A 16,104-nucleotide genomic window follows, 5' to 3' on the forward strand; every position below is an offset into this window, starting at 1 on the left:
CTAGTTCCTTAGTTACCTCTGATGTCGTCTTTAGAGGTCTATGTGAATTTTTTCTCTTGCAGCCTGTATCTGAAGGTAAGGTAATGAGAACAGTTACGACAGTTGCTTGAGGAGCAGTTTTGCCCTTTTGATAAGATGGGAGGGAAGGAAATATGAGCAAAGACGAATCTGCAAAATATTTTCTTGTATTATTGTACTTCTAGTTAGGGCCTTAGAAGGTTACTTACAATTCAGGTCGTTATGCCCACGTCATTAAGCATATGTGGCTATTGACTATTTGAAATGTGACTAGAGTAACTGAGGAACTGGATTTGTAATCTTTTAAAATTTTACTTCATTTAGATTTAAATTTGAATAAGCATATTGGCTTATTCTTGCCATATTGGACAGTGAAGGTATTTTGTACTTAGGAAAGTTTTCAGAGTTCATGCGTGGGTTCAAGGGTTATTTTAAGGAATCCTAGATTCAGGAAGTAAGTTGATCTCATTATCCTAAGGCACCTGAAACACAAAAACAAAATCCATTTGAGTTTACCAGTTAATATTTTAATTTACATGAAATGTTAACTCACTTTTAGAAAATAATCTATTATGCTTGGTTTCACTAAATATTATACAGTAAGGACAAAACTAGGGAGGAAATATATGTTCATTCTAATAGAATTAATGTCTCTTTCTTTTCTCCTTCAGGATTGGTTAAAAATTGTTTGTTTTCTAAGCTCATGCTAATAGATAATTACTTTAGCTCCACGGAGAGTAACAACAAACAGGTAAATTCCAGTACCTGAAGGGTGCTACCCAATAGTATAGGACTCCTATACTACAGGACTCCAAGGTGCAATTTAATAAAGCATAGACTTAGTTGTAATCTTTAATTCCATTGGGGTACTACTGTATTTGAGCCTATGAAGCAATAATTTTCTAAATTGCACCCTAGTGGCCTAAATGTTAATTCAGCTTCCTGAGATTTCTAGTTTAAAGTCAAGGAGTTTGTTCTACACTGTTAAATCTTGGTCTACAAATTTTATTTCCTTTAAACCTCTAGATTAAGAAATCACAGCTTTCAAAATGAAACTGCAAATTAATAGATGGAGGAGGAATCATCCATGAATTGACTGACTTAACTGCATACTTTTTTTTCAGATGCTAAGAATTCATTTTGATTCAGTTTCTAGCAAGCTCGAAGCAAAGTTTTGTGATCAGTTTTGGTAATTAACTATCTCAGGAGTCTAGTTATATGTACTTTTTATTCATTTTAATGTCATTGGTCTATTTTAACTTTTATTGCCCTGTTTTATAATGTGTTTGGTTTTGTAAGCTATATCTGGTAGTTGCAAATTTCCTCTCTCCACACTCAGATATACCAAGAAAATGTATTTCTTTTCTGTCTTTATTGACAAATAATATCCCATAGGAGTCCTACATTTTGGGTGGGCTAAAGCAAATTTATTTAGCTCAATCCAGAAAATAGAATACTTCCTGGTAAAAGTAGATTCTGAGGTTCTCCTATTTCTAATTTTCATATCTCCCCCATTTTCATCTTTTCCCAGAGGCTACTGGGTATATAGTGAGTGTGGTTTATATGGCCCCAAGGGGAGGTGATAGTTGTGAAGTCATGGGATCCAGCTATATCTGCCCCTTTTGTAGGATAATAGCTGTGGAGGGACTAATAGAGTTGCTCTCTGGGTTGCAAATGTGCTGAGGTGTGAGAGGTCACATCTGGTAGAGGAGGATGCCCTTCTCTCCTCTTGATTTTTATGAAGAGTAATTTTTCCCAAATCATACTCCCGTGACCTCTTGCCTTACTCCTCAGTCTCCTCCTGACAGAGAGGGAGTGTGTACCTGGTTAGAAGGCAACAGGTTTCTTGATTGTTTGTGGAAAATCTATCCAAGGTCCTGAGTGTGGTTCCTATTCTTCTCAGTGAGACGCAATGGCTGGTCAGCCTTAAGGACTGACACTCCTCTTGGGTGTGCCGTCTCAAGTGTGGCCATGGGTTTGGATAGGGAATGACCTGGCACATTTGTCTCTCACACAAGCTGCCTCCTTTGATCCATATACACCACTAATGAATGAAATTTTGACCTTCATCTTTACTCTTGTATTGTATTTCTAAAATTCTAGGTCCTTGGGTGGTGAAGGGTTTATGTCTTCCTAACGTATCTAGGTGCCCCTCAGATACTCATAACATACCAGTGTCTTTAAGAACATAACAAAATAAAAAACTGGAAGTTTACATTCTTGGAAAGACTTTTGGGGAGTCAGAAAGATTATTCTTTCATTTTAATACTTTCTTCCCTTCTTTTTTCCATTTTTCAGTTTTGGTTAAGACCTAGTTTAGATTATTTGCCCAAACTTTGGCCAATTAAAAGACGGCATCACCTCTGTTGCATTTCTTCACGGTAACTTTCAGTAATTGGACAAAGTTACTGAAGTTACTTTACTGAAGCTAAAGTAAGTAGGGGATGAAAAGCATCGATCTTTGTCAGGGGCCCGATCTGGAACTGTGGGACTTGTTCCCTTGGCATTCTTCCATATACCTCTCTGCCACTCTCTTGCCACCACCACAGGCCACTTTTGTTTGTGAATCTTAGAGAATCAGATGGCAGCTTTATAGAAATAGAGTGAATTTTGTTAATGAACAAAATAAAATGAAGCCCCACCGTGATGCACTCAATCTCAGTGTGGGTAGAGGAGAAAAAAGCCTGATAAATTATTACAGATCCAAAGGCCAACAAAAGACAATATTATTAAACAAAGCTTGTGTCTGAGATGCTTTACTCTAGGGAATTAGACTGGCACTGAAACAGAGCAGGGAGCCTCAGGAATGCTCAAATTTATGAAGGCCAATAAAGCATAAACTTTGCATGTTTTCCTTGAAAGTCTGTAAATGGGGATGGTATAATACCTACCTGACAGAGTTGTTTCTGACATTGAATGAAATCAGGTGGTAAATAAGAATCACTTCAGCATGTATGACTCAGATGTGTATCTCAACAACATGACAAATTACTGCACATTATTTGTATTTGATTGTTAATGCAGTGATTGAAACAATGATTATTATATCCAAAATGCCAAGAATTTGATGTATTTATAAAATCCTGCAGCACATTCTTTTGTAAAGCAAGTGATCCTTCCATAATTTTAATAGACAATCCCCAACTTTTAATTTTTTTGTGGTTTAAGTAGTTTACTGCATTTCAGTTTTCTTTAAAAAATGGCATCTATTTTCTTTTTTCTCTTTCCTGGGTGCAATGAGTGTGGATGTGATACATTCTTCAGGGTGTGAAGAAGCATAGGTGTTTTTAGAGAAATTTTACTACTACCAGGCTTTTTTCACTGAGAAGCAAACTCAGCTTAGCAAATCCTTGTTTGTTTTGCAATAGATGAAGAGAATGGTAGTGAAAAATGGACTGTCAGATTTGTACTGATTTGATGTGTCTTCCCAGCTAGCTGTGCTGAGCATTAATGAGCAGGGTGCAAAAATAGTTACTTTGAGGTGCGATGTATGGTTACTTTAGAATAATATAATCATTTACATTCAGTCTCAGGCAAACTAAATCCTTGAGCTAAAACCGCATCCTGATTTTCTGAATAACCGTATGTAATACCAAGAGTCACTATAATTAGAATTCTGCAATGTAACACAGTGGAAGAAATGATGAATTACCCATTTCAAATCTGCTATCCCATTGCCATTTCATCAAATACATAGATGAATAATTAGTCATCATAAATTCACTTCAGAGTATTTATTGAGCACCTATTTGGTGCTTGGGTCTGTGAAGGATATGAAAGCTTTCAACAAGGATTTGCCAGATGCAGTGTAATTGATAGGAAAGGATACTCGCAAGAAGAGTTAAGGAATTATATGAAAGTTTAAAGTGCCTAAGAAATTGGTAGACACAATAATTTCATTAGGAGTTTAAAGGAAGTGGAGATTCCTGTGGGCCTGGGCAGTTAAAGAACACTGATTGCTAAGGATGGGTAAGGGAGCAGGGGTCAGGAGATGAGGCTTAACTTCAGAGCAGGGCCACATCACAAAAGATAGGCAGCAGCCATGGGGGGCTACTGCTCCATGAACTAATTAGCTTGGCTGGTGAAGACAGTCTATGAGGCAGAGTTCTGATTGTGAGTTAATACTGAGCTGGAGAGTGGGTGACAACTTCACCAAGGTCTTGAAAGCCATATGGAGGGATTTGGCTTCCTTCTGTAGGCAAGTGTGAACCACTGGAGAAAGCCAATAGCTATCCAGATAGTGACTGTGGTTTTGGAACACATCTGATTATGGGTGTTTGTGGGCAGTGCTGTTCCAGGTCTTCACTAGGGACAAGGGGTGGAATGCTTCATTGTAGAGAACAGTTCTGGAAAAAATTCCTAGGAAATGCTCCTTCAGACCTGGGAGTGAGGATGCTAGTGTGTGGCAAAAGAGAGCCAGTAAAGTGGTTACCCACTATGGAGGGACTGCCTAAGGTAAAGGGATTCCTCCCTAGATGACATTGTTTCTTTGCCAAGGAACAGGATATGCAGGCTTAGTGGTGTGAGGAGTATTTTTGTCGTTGAAACCTAACTTCTGTGGCCAGTTTCTCCACTGGCTCTTTCCCCTGAATTGCAATCATTTTGAGATTGCCTATCCTTAGCCCAAGTGAGAAAAAAGACACAGGATAAAAAGGGAGCCCTTCTTGGAAATCCGTCTTGCAAATGGTTGCCAAGCCAATATGTTTTTAAAATACTCCTTTTATTATGTCACTTTTTGTTTATAAACTAAAAATAGCTCATTGATTCCAACTTATGCTTTGTAAGTCTCTTTTAAGGTCAGAACCCACTTTGTCTGTCTATGTATCTATGTATCTATTTGTCTATCTATCTATCTATCTATCTATCATCTATCATCTATCTACCTACATACCTATCTGTCTATCATCATCTATCTTCCTCCACCTCATCATCTCCTTAGGTTCCAATCATTATAGATTTCTAGTCTTCATTTTAGTTAGGCTAGTTCCACACTAACCATAACTATGTCCATTCCCATAGACTTAATTATTTCCCTAGCTTGGAAAGTGCCAAATCTATGGCCTTGATCCAAATCCTACCCATTCTTTAAAATCTATCTTAAACCCTTCCTGTTTCATAGATTTTCCTATCTCAACTTGAACCCTGAATGATCTCTGTATTCCCTGGACCATTAAAAGACTTGAAAAACATAGAGCATAGAGTTTTAGAGGACCAACATATTATAGTATTGAAGACTCTAGAACAAATTGAGTTATAGTCTTTATAATTGTATGTCTACTTCAATTTTTAAAAGATCAAGAACATTAACCTGCAGAGGTTCAGCCTCCTTTTGATGTATTTCTAGTGGCAGGAAGATGCCAGCCCATTCCCTTTTGTTTCAGCAAGGATTTTCTTGTCTTCCTGTTTGACTGTAGAGGTGGGGCAGAGAACAGGCTAGGTGCATTTATATTTAGTGATGCATCACAAATTTATTGAGCAGCAATTATTTTTCAGGTATGGTACTGAACACTAGAAATGCTAAGATTTAGAAAATGTCTTTTATTTCAAGGTGCTTATAATGTATTGTGAATGTGAGATTGATCCAGAATAGTTGATCAATAGATGTTTGTGGATGAAAGAAACAGAGGCAAGAAAACCAACTATTACACGGATTTTTAAGAATATCATCTCTTAGATTAGATTGCCTGACTTTGAATCTTGGTTCTGATACTAGGTATTTACTGAACATTACAACATAGGTTATTAGATTTGAATGAGAAAATGCATATAAAATGCTTAGCATAGTGTTTGACACGTAGGTTCTCCGTACATGTGATGATAATGACAAAAATAAGTCTGATTCATTGGACAGAGGCATGGGCAGAATGCTGTGGGAACACAGAAGAAGGTCATTCTACTCAGACCTATGTGCAGGGAGGGTGGGAGGGACTGGCCAGTGAAGTAGCATGTGAGGGACGGCTCAGAGCAGCTGGAGCTGTGTGCTCTTATAGGAAGATGTGAATAGTGATTGAGCAAAACCAGAGTTGACCTTTAAAAAACTGGAAGATGGCACAAGTGTTCTTAAGCTTCGTTAGACATGTCATCAGGAAAGTGGCATTATTCTATGAATTCCAAGGCAAGTACTACCTTCCGAGACAATAATTGATTGAAATAGTTTACCATGTACTAGCTCTGTGTTCAGTGTTTTTTGCGAAGAATGTCTGAAAATATCTATAAATAAGAAGGATACAGAACCAAAGAAAACACTGGGCAACATATCAATTGCTCACCAGCACCTGTATTTCTAAGAGAGCATTAGATGCAGAGTCTGGTGGCTTTTGTCTATAGTGAGATCCTAAGCTTATTGGTAAAAAATATACTCACAAGACTAATGATAGAGGGCCAGATGGACAGTGTTCTGTTTTTTTATAATCACATGTAGAGTTTTGCTGTTGCTTTTCCTTTCAGTCACTGGGATAGAAGTTGTTATTTCTACATATTTCTGGGTAGTGTTTAATACTCTTTTTTCTGTATATCTCATTTGCCAAGTTTCAAGCAAGGTGCTTTTTTAAAAAGACTGAAGAGCTTTATAGGTTTATTGCATGGCTTTTGTTAGCCCCAAATATATAATTATTATTTAGTCAAGGCATAGAGTGCTAGCTAGTCACATTAACGTATATCGTATAAAATTTATACTTGAACTCTTTAAAAGTATCTCAGAATAATATCTATAAGGTGATCTCAATTTTGTAATTATGTATGTATTCATACAAATGCAGAAAAACTTAGAGGAGTACACAATGGTGTTAGAAGTCAATCACTCCAAGGACTATAATTAGGTAAAGACATGGGCTTTCATTTTCATTATTTATATGCATTTGAATTATATTAGTAGGGTAACAAGTATACCCAAATAGAGCTGATGGCTGTAACAAGTATACCCAAATAGAGCTGATGGCTCAAAGAACATAGAGGTTTAGTTTTTCTTTGTGTAACAAACCCAAAGCAGTTCCTGGACACTGAGGAAGGGTACAAAAAAGCGCTACCTCACACACAGTCATTCAGAGATCAGTCTTCAACATGCAGCTTACAAGGTTGCCCTGGGTACTGATGTCACATTCAGTCCCTGGGCATTGACACCAAGGTGGCAGAAGAAAAATGAGCATAGAAGATTATTCATTGGGGGTATGTAGTATGGTGTATGTGGTACATGGTGTGGGTGTGTGTGTCCATATGTGTGTGTCTACAGGGCAGGCTTGAAAATGTCACTTCTGCTCATATTCAGTTTGCTAGAACTCAGTTATGTGACCACATCTAATTGCAAGAGAGGCTGGGAAATGGAATCTGGCTGTATTTCCAGGAAGAAGGGGGAACAAAGGTTTTGGTGAACAGCTAGAAGTTTCTACCAGAGTCAGGTTTTGTGGTTACCAAATATCCAGTGCTCCCTTCTATCTACATAGAGAGCACACTTGCCTTCTTTCTTGAGGAAGATAACACAAAGTTTCATCTAAACTCCATAGAAAATTCAAAGGCAAGGGTCCCTGGGTGATGCACAGTGTTCTCAATCATATCCAGATGTGATTCCTAGTGGTTTGGTGACCTGCATATTAAAAAGATGCATTCTCTCCCCCACTTTCCACCATCCACTGGCAACACACCCACCCCCCCCCCCCGCACACACACACACCCACACACACACTATGATGGTGGACCTGCAACAAGATAACTGCAGTAAAAACTCCCATTCAGGAATGAGAAGAGTCATTGGTTCATGGCAATGATGGAACCCTGCTGGGCAAACTTTGTGACGTCCCCCTTTCCTGGCAGTAGGGAAAGTTCCTGAAATAAATCCTGATTCTGCCATCTTGGAGGAACTCCCTCATCTACTGAATGACCCTGGTTCCCTGCTCTAGGTGCATCTTCCTTGTCCATTATCCTCCATGACCCTGCATGAATTGAGAACCAGGAATGTACCCTCCTCAGGGGTTGCACAGTACTCTCATCTTGCTTTCTGCTGTACCAATAACAGGGCCTGCCTAAGAATTCTTTAAAGGCTTGAATAGTTAAAGCTTTTTTAGTTTAGGCACAGGATTCTTTGGCGATATCAGTTCCTCAAATATTTAGTTGCCTTGTAATCTGTTTGCTTTCAGTGGGTTCCATGTGAGTGTAACCAAACCTAAATTCTTTCCTAAGACAAAACACTTAAACCTTGTCTCTTTCCTCATTTCCCAACCCAGTGCCTCTCTCCCTCAACTTACTGGTGGCTCTTTGGCAGCCATTTGAAACTACAGCCTTAGGTGGAAAGGAGACATATTTAATATGATACTTGCCATACTGTTAAATACCTCTGTTTAACTAACAGCAATTGATGGAGGCTTCAAGGCATATTTTCAGTCTCACTTCATATGATTGTTGTTCAGTAGTGGTTAAATTCTTCAGTTCTGCAAAGCCTGATTTTCTGGACGTTCTCCATTATCTTTCATTTCTGCTTGCAAATCAACCAATTCTTTCTTGAACTCATTTATCTCTTGTAAATCTTTCCTAGATGCAACAAGTAATAGTCAACACACTCTCCTAATACCTCTTTTCTGATCACTTACCCCATAGCTACAAGCAAGGGAGGAACGTGGCCTGCCTTCCAAGACAGGGTTTACCAAATTCTTTGTCACCATATATCACGGGTCTCCAACTGTTGAGCCTCTGTTAAGAGTTTCCCTACCCCATGCTACTTGGCCACCAACCCATTGCCCCATATGTTAGAATTTTGTTATGGAGGTATGCCACTTGAAGGCATATATTGCTGTATAATTAAAGAGGGTGAATTTCTATGACAAAAATACCCTAAGTCCATCAACAAATATTGGATAAAGAAAATGGGGGTACATATATACACAATGGAATATTATTCAGCCATAAAAAGGAATTGTTACGGGAGTTATTAAGAAATTATTTTAGGCAGAGAGCAAAAGGGGTCCTTGGGAAGTTTTTGTTTCTTTTAAAGCAGCTCCAGAAACATTTCTTGTCTAGCAGGAAAGCCCCAGCTCTTAGAGCTGGGCAGGCAAGCTTTGATATGCAAATGCTGGCCCTTAGAAACTGGGTCCACCCAAATGTGGCAATTCCCATTGTCTTCTTGCCCTTGCCCCTACTTGTGCCTGGCAACATGGCTGTCCCCCACATATCCCCACGTGCGTAGAACGTCATGGCACCCTGTATTTGCATATAAAAAGGTCACAATGGGAGGGCCCATTTTCTCGTGGGCTGCATGAATGACACACCTGGTCAAACCAATCCTCTGGGCCCTATGGAAACCAGACACCACCTCCTCCAGCATCCCAATATAAGCAGCCACTTTTCCACCACACATGGGGTTTTCTCTTTGTTCAAATCCCCCCTCCCTCTGTCTCTGTACAGGGGACCTGTTTTCTTCTTCCTTCCTTCTTTCTTGCCTATTAAACTTTTCGCTCCTTAAAACCACTCCACGTGTGTCCGTGTCATTAATCCTATGGGCGAGACCCTGGTGTTCCTCCAGTCATCGGAGCCATATCAGAATGAAGTCGTGTCTTTTGAAGCAACATGCATGGAACTGAAGGTCGTTATCTTAAGTGAAGCAAGCCATACAGAGCCAAATACTGCATGTTCTCATAAGTGGGTACTAAAAAATGTGTACACATGGATGTAGAGAGTGGAGCTATAGACAATGGAGACTCAGAAGGGTGAGATGGGGATGGATGATGAGAAATTACCTAATGGGTACAATGTAATTATTTGGGTGATAAATACCCTAAAATCCCTGACCTGAACGCTATCCAATCTATGCATGTAACAAAATTGCATTTGTACTCCATAAATATTTATAAATAAAAAACTCTTAAGTTATCTACTGTGTTATATACAAACACAATAGAATCTTCTTTCTTGCTTAGGTAAATAATCTAGGCTTGCTCCAGTTTAGCATGGGATGGGCTATGCTTGTCATGGTCATTCAGGAATCCAGGCTGATGGAGTCTCTGCCGTCTTCAACATATAGCTTTCAAAATGATCCTTGGCATTGTCATCCAACAACCAAGGAGGTCAGTGAGATAAAAAAGAATTGCCTGAGAGGTGGAACAGGCTGACACACGGCTTCCATCACTTTTGCTCACATCCCATTGGCTAAAACTTAGTCCCATGGCCTCAACCAACCTCAAGAGAGGCTGGAGAATTTGTTTAGGCCCTATGCCCAGGTAGAGGAGAACATATAATTTTTATATATGTATATATATATATAATATTCATATTTTTATATAAAAAGTTTAAAATTTTTAAATTTTTTAAGTATAAAATTTTTTAAAAATTTAATTTTTAAATTTAAATTTTTTAATTTTTAAAATTTATTAAAAAATCTTATATTTATATATATAAAATATATATATATTTTCAAGACAGAATCTTGCTTTGTTGCTGAGGCTGGAGTGCATTGGCATGATCTTGGCTCACTGCAACCTCTGCATCCTAGCTTCAAGTGATTCTCATGCCTCAGCCTCCAGAGCAGCTGGAAATACAAGCATGCACCACCACACCTGGCTAATTTTTTGTATTTTTACTAGAGACGGGGTTTTGCCATTTTGCTCAGGCTGGTCTTGAACTCCTGGGTTCAAGTGATCCACCCAGCTCGGCCTCGCAAAGTGCTGGGATTATAGGCGTGAGCCACTGCACCCAGCCATGAGAATGTGGATTTTAATCTGCAGGTGGCAGATATTGTTTGAATTTTTAAAAACCCTGTATTTCTGTAATAAAACCAAATAATTGTATTTGTTTTTCTTATCTTCTGTTTGAGCAACTTTGCTACTTGGAATTTATTCTAGAAAAACAGTTGGACAAGTGAACATTGATACGTGTGCAAGGATGTACTGCAGAATTGTTTGTAAGAGAGGGAAAATTGGAAATAGCCTAAGTGGTAAATCCTCAGGAATTGGCTACTAATGTACCCATTAGGACAATGATGTGAAGAACTGTATTCATTGATATTCAAATATGTTTATATTATATCAAGTGAGCAAAGGAGATCATAGAACAATATGTCTAGTGTGACTTTTATCTTACATATTTGTATTATGCATTAAAGTTTTGGAAAATATCAATAATGGTGATTCATAGATGGTTATATTATGAGTAATTTTAATTTCTATTTTTCTTTACTGTGTTATTTATGTTTTGTATAGTAAATGTAGATAGTTTGGTAATTAAAAAGTAGATATTGTTGATACCACAAGTATTGACAACTTATTTGCACGGTTCTGCATCCTATGTCCCAGTGTGGAGACTCTTTCCCTGTGTAGTCATAGCTGTTAGTTAGGAAAATAGCTATTTAATTGGAATTTCCTGGGTTGCTCTATGTTTTGTTTATTCAAGTGTTCTCCAAAATTTTCCTCTGCAACCAATAGTAATATAGCTCTTTATAAAACACTTTCACATAACTTCATTTAATTCCTATAATAACTGAAATAAATAAGCAGTTATTCCTATTCAGAAAAATGAAGTGACTTTGCTATTGGCATATCTAGCGAGAGCTGGGGCCCAGCCTTGGTTGAGCCCAGTTTTTCTCTGTGTGGACTTGGCTTACTCCACCCTGGTTGTTCTCAACCCTGGCAACATCTTCATATCACTTGGGACATTTACCAATTCTTTGGTCTCTCCCCTGAATAAGTAAAGAAAAAATTTCTGTCTCTCTCTCACTCTATCTATCTATCTATCTATCTATCTATCTATCTATCTATCTATCATATATCTATCTATCATCTATCTATCATCTATCTATAGTTTATATATTGTCATTGTTGTTACTATTTTATTACTAGTTGTCTTTTTGATAGTTTTAAATGGTTTTCATATATTATCTCATTTGATCCTTATTAGAAACACATAAGGTGGATATCACTTTTCTTATCACAAATGAGGAAATTTAGGCACAGAGAGGAAAACTCACTTGCCCAAGAAGATCCAGTTAGGAAGTGGATCAAGGAATATTTGAGCCTACATCTATTCGCCCCCCAAGACTGGGCAGTTAATCATTTTTATAAATGGTAAAATTTGGTCTTGTGTGCAGGTCAAGACATCAGAAGATTAGAGTTGTAGTTCATATAAATAGCCAAACTAGGAACTCAATGAGTTTAAGCTCAATATAATCCTGTGAACAAAGCAACAGGATAATTTGAAATGTCAATGTGACATTCTGTTCCACAGTAAATTAATAAGATGTGACTGGAGGCCTTTCTTGTCAAGGCTGTAACAATCGCAAGCCATACTTTCTCTCCCCTTTAATCTCATGTTATGATAATAGGCAATCAGTAGAAACATCCTTCAAATATCAGCTGAGTCCTTTTCATACACAAAGGTGACAAATTGGCAGCATCCACTTTTGTTCATTTCTGTTGGAAGAGATGTAGCTTCAAACACTACGATGTGATGAAATGAGCAATGTAAAAACAGAGGCAGTTTTCTGTAATTAATTTGGTATTGATAGAAAACACTTTGATCCTCTTCTCATTCTTTTTGTTGCTGAAGTGATGGTCATTTGGATGGTCTGAGTGACTTTGAGGCATGGGCAAAAAGCTGGGAGGTCCCAGCAAGTATTACTCCTCATGTTTCAGAATCCTTTAATTTTGGACATGTCTTTAGCTACATATTCTTGGTTTCCAGTCTTGAACGTGGCTTTGGGCACTTCTCCACTTGATCGTGTGCTACCTCCTGGATCCCATCTAGACCAGCCCAGCATCCCTGTTCTGCGGATTATGTTCAGAACCATCTCCATACTAGCAACTTTCTGGTACCCATCTAGCAACTGGCACTTTAAAAAATCAAAATTCTATTTCCCTGAGGTGGCTAAGGAGAGAGAACATCCCCAGGGGTGAGATTTGTTGCAACTTGTTGCCATAATTCTTCTATTAAGAGAGATGAGAGGCCTCTCAGCTAAAACTACAAGGAAACCGAAACTGCCATTTCCACCTGCAAGTGTCTTTATGATTTTGACAGTATGGACCTTTCTACACTCAGGGTGAAGTTTCCGCCTTTTCTTTTCCTGAAAGGTGGGGTTGAGAGGGGCACCATTAGCCCAGGCATGTGTGCAGACAAGTCCTCAGAGCACATGAACACATGAAAGACCAGAACTCATTGAAATGTGGCATGGAAAATACTCACTGTTCAAACTGGAAACCTGGATCCATCTATCTGTAATTCTCTATTTGCCTTTTTATTCACATCCAAATCATCGGTGGCTATCACCACCTCTAACTCTAAAAATATGTCTATTATCTGCCCACTTTTCTCCATCTCTTCTGCCTGCTACCCTAGTCTATATCTCCATTATCTCTTATCTGCTGTCCTGTGATAACCTCCTAGGTGGAGTTTCTACTTCCACTTGTGTGTTCCCACAGATTATTTTCCTCAGGGCAGTTAAAGTAAACTTGCAAATCATAGACCAGATCGTCTGACTCCCCTGCTTTAAAACCACTGGCTTCCCAAAAGATCCTATATGATCTGGTGCCAGCCTATTCCACTGACATCACCTAGTCCCACTCTCCCCTCAGTCACCAGGCTGAACACAGGACTTTGTTCATGGAATAGGACAAGCTTGTTTTAACCTCAAGGTGTTCGTATCTCCTATTTTTTTCTGCCAACAAGTTCTTTGCTGGGGTCTTCCTAGCTTGGAAGAACCTTCTTAGTTGAAACATTTCTTAGTTGGACGTTACTGCCTATTTATTCTATCTAAAGTAGTCCTTTTCTGCTCCTCCATCATGTCTGTTTATAGGACAAGTATTTATTGGATGCCTGCTATGTTTCAGATACTGGGAATAACTCAGCAAACAAGACCAACAGAAATTCCTGCCTTCGTGTGCTTTACGTTCTAGTGTCCCATCAGGATGTTTAAATTTCTCTGTAGCACTGATTTCTATTTGAGTTATTTATTGGTTTGCTTGTTTTAATCTTTCTCTCTATAGCCCACCCTTGGACAGACTGGGAAGAATAAATCAGTTTTGGTTTTGCAGCATGTCCATGGCAATCTGTCTCAGGAGGCAGACATTAGAAGAATCTGTAGACACAAAGAATCAGAGTGGGAAAAGTTTGTTGTCCTTTTTTGTTACTCCCTCCTTTGCTTAGAAGAACATTTTGAGCATGAGCACGCTTACACATAGTCTAAGAATACTTGTCAAAGACAGTTCATAGATGGCATCATTAATACAATTTAGAAACAATAGTGCCCCTACCCCAGTATCTACAGACTGTTGAGGTTTGCTTCACAGGTTAGAATTTTCAGATGCTGTCTTTCTCTGTATTGTGGTTTGTGTATAACAATTACCTGGTAATTCAGATTTTGAAGCCTGGCCTCTAAAGAGTCTGATTATTAGGTCTAAGGTAGAACCCAGGAGCCTGCATTTTTAAGAAGTACCCCAGGTGACTCCGTAGTAGGTTTGTGGACTGCAATCTGTAAAATACTTTGTAGAGCATAGCCTGATATTGTAAACAAGGACTTTCTATGGTCCTGTGTGCCAGAGAATGTGCACTTGTAGGATCTCCTAAATTTAGGTGACTGTGTGTCGAGGTTTGCCTGGGATGGTCCTGGTGTATGTCTGCTTTCCCAGCATAATTATTAATAATGACCATTCTAACTATCAAAAGTGTCACAAATTGAATGGTACATTTGATAGTAACTCTGTATGTATGGAACTCTTACCCAAGAGGCTATTGTAAGAAGCTTCCTTTTTGGGGATAAAAAGGTAGACTTATCTGAAAGAGATAAAGTGGACATCTGTCCACCTGGTCTGGTCTTCTATCATGGAATTTTTGAACTATATCCACACTATGAAAGAGGAATTCCTTACATTCTAGGGATTCCAGTTCCTGCTTCCTCCTTATCTGATATTCCTCCTTATATGATATTCCTCTGACAGACTTACCATGGAAAGTCACATTTTTGCCTATGCCTGTGCTGTCCAGTACCATAGCCAACAGGAGTATATGTCTATTTAAATGAAAATTTACACTAATTAACATAAAATGAAATTTAAAATTCAGTTGTTTAGTTTTGGCACATTTCAAATGCTCACTAATCACAGGTGGCTAATGGCCACTGCCGTGGACAGTGAATTATAGAAAATCTCATCATCATAGGAAGTTTCTGTTGGACAGCACTAGCCTAATTTGTGTTTCTGTGGTTTTTACCCGCTCAGATTTGTATCCAGTATTTTTTGTAGTTATGACTTGGGAGAAATCAGAAAAATAATGCTTTTAGAAGTTACATTACAGATTATCTAATACAATCTCTTAATATAATTTATACTTAAATGTATTAAGTTATCCTAGCTAATTGCTTGGTATCAAATTATCCACCTGCAAAATGGGATCACAACAGCTCTTCCTCAGAGTGACATTGAGGCAGCCTTCCAGCACATGCAGATGCCAGCTACTGAGTAAATAGCATCTCATGTCATTAAATGGTACACTGACTTTGATATGTTGCTATAAACTCCTTATCATAATTCATTATGAATGTGTTAGGGAAATTGACTTAAAGCAGCTATATCAAAATAGCCATGAGACTGATTGAGTCCAAAGATGAATTACACATTCTATTTCGTCATCTCGTTAACAGTAGGTTCCCTTAATGAGATACTTTCTATTTCAGATGGTGGTGTAACATGGCTAGTACTTCGAAAACTTTGAAGAGCCCTTAGTGATGCTGTTTGCAGCCCTTCAGTCCTATTCAACACCTCCAAAGGAAATGGTAAACCCTGTTTCTGTCTGTCCATTTGGTTTGTTATGACTGATGCTCTGGCCTTCTTCCAAAGAAAGATTTTTTAGTTCAATACCTCTTCCCTCCATGGAGCACACTGTCTGTAGGATGGTGGGTCCATTGCTCTGGAAGAATGCTTTGAGATATGTATGTTGTGCTTGAAAGACAATGCATGAAATACTTGTTTGATCACTGGTTTGGACTTCACGTTCATTTTGGTGGATGTGTGAAGAGAAGGGCTAGGGCAAATGCCTATAGGCAGGAGAAGAATCCTAAATGTGTTCTGATTATGAACTCATGTATTATGTACCTACTATACCGCAGAGGCACATTTGCTT

The 16,104-nt window shown here is 38.5% G+C and overlaps 1 long non-coding RNA gene across 1 annotated transcript in view; it reads left to right on the forward strand.

The window, feature by feature from the left end:
- LOC107984326 (uncharacterized) overlaps positions 1 to 15,757 on the forward strand; it is a 162,012-nt gene extending 146,255 nt beyond the window's left edge. Inside the window, exon 4 of the long non-coding RNA XR_001748187.1 lies at positions 15,659 to 15,757. This is a non-coding gene — a long non-coding RNA (uncharacterized LOC107984326). The remainder of the gene's footprint in view (positions 1 to 15,658) is intronic.
- The last annotated feature ends 347 nt before the right edge of the window (positions 15,758 to 16,104 follow it).

This window comes from Homo sapiens, chromosome 11 (genome assembly GCF_000001405.40).
Source record: "Homo sapiens chromosome 11, GRCh38.p14 Primary Assembly".
Taxonomy (NCBI): domain Eukaryota; kingdom Metazoa; phylum Chordata; class Mammalia; order Primates; family Hominidae; genus Homo; species Homo sapiens.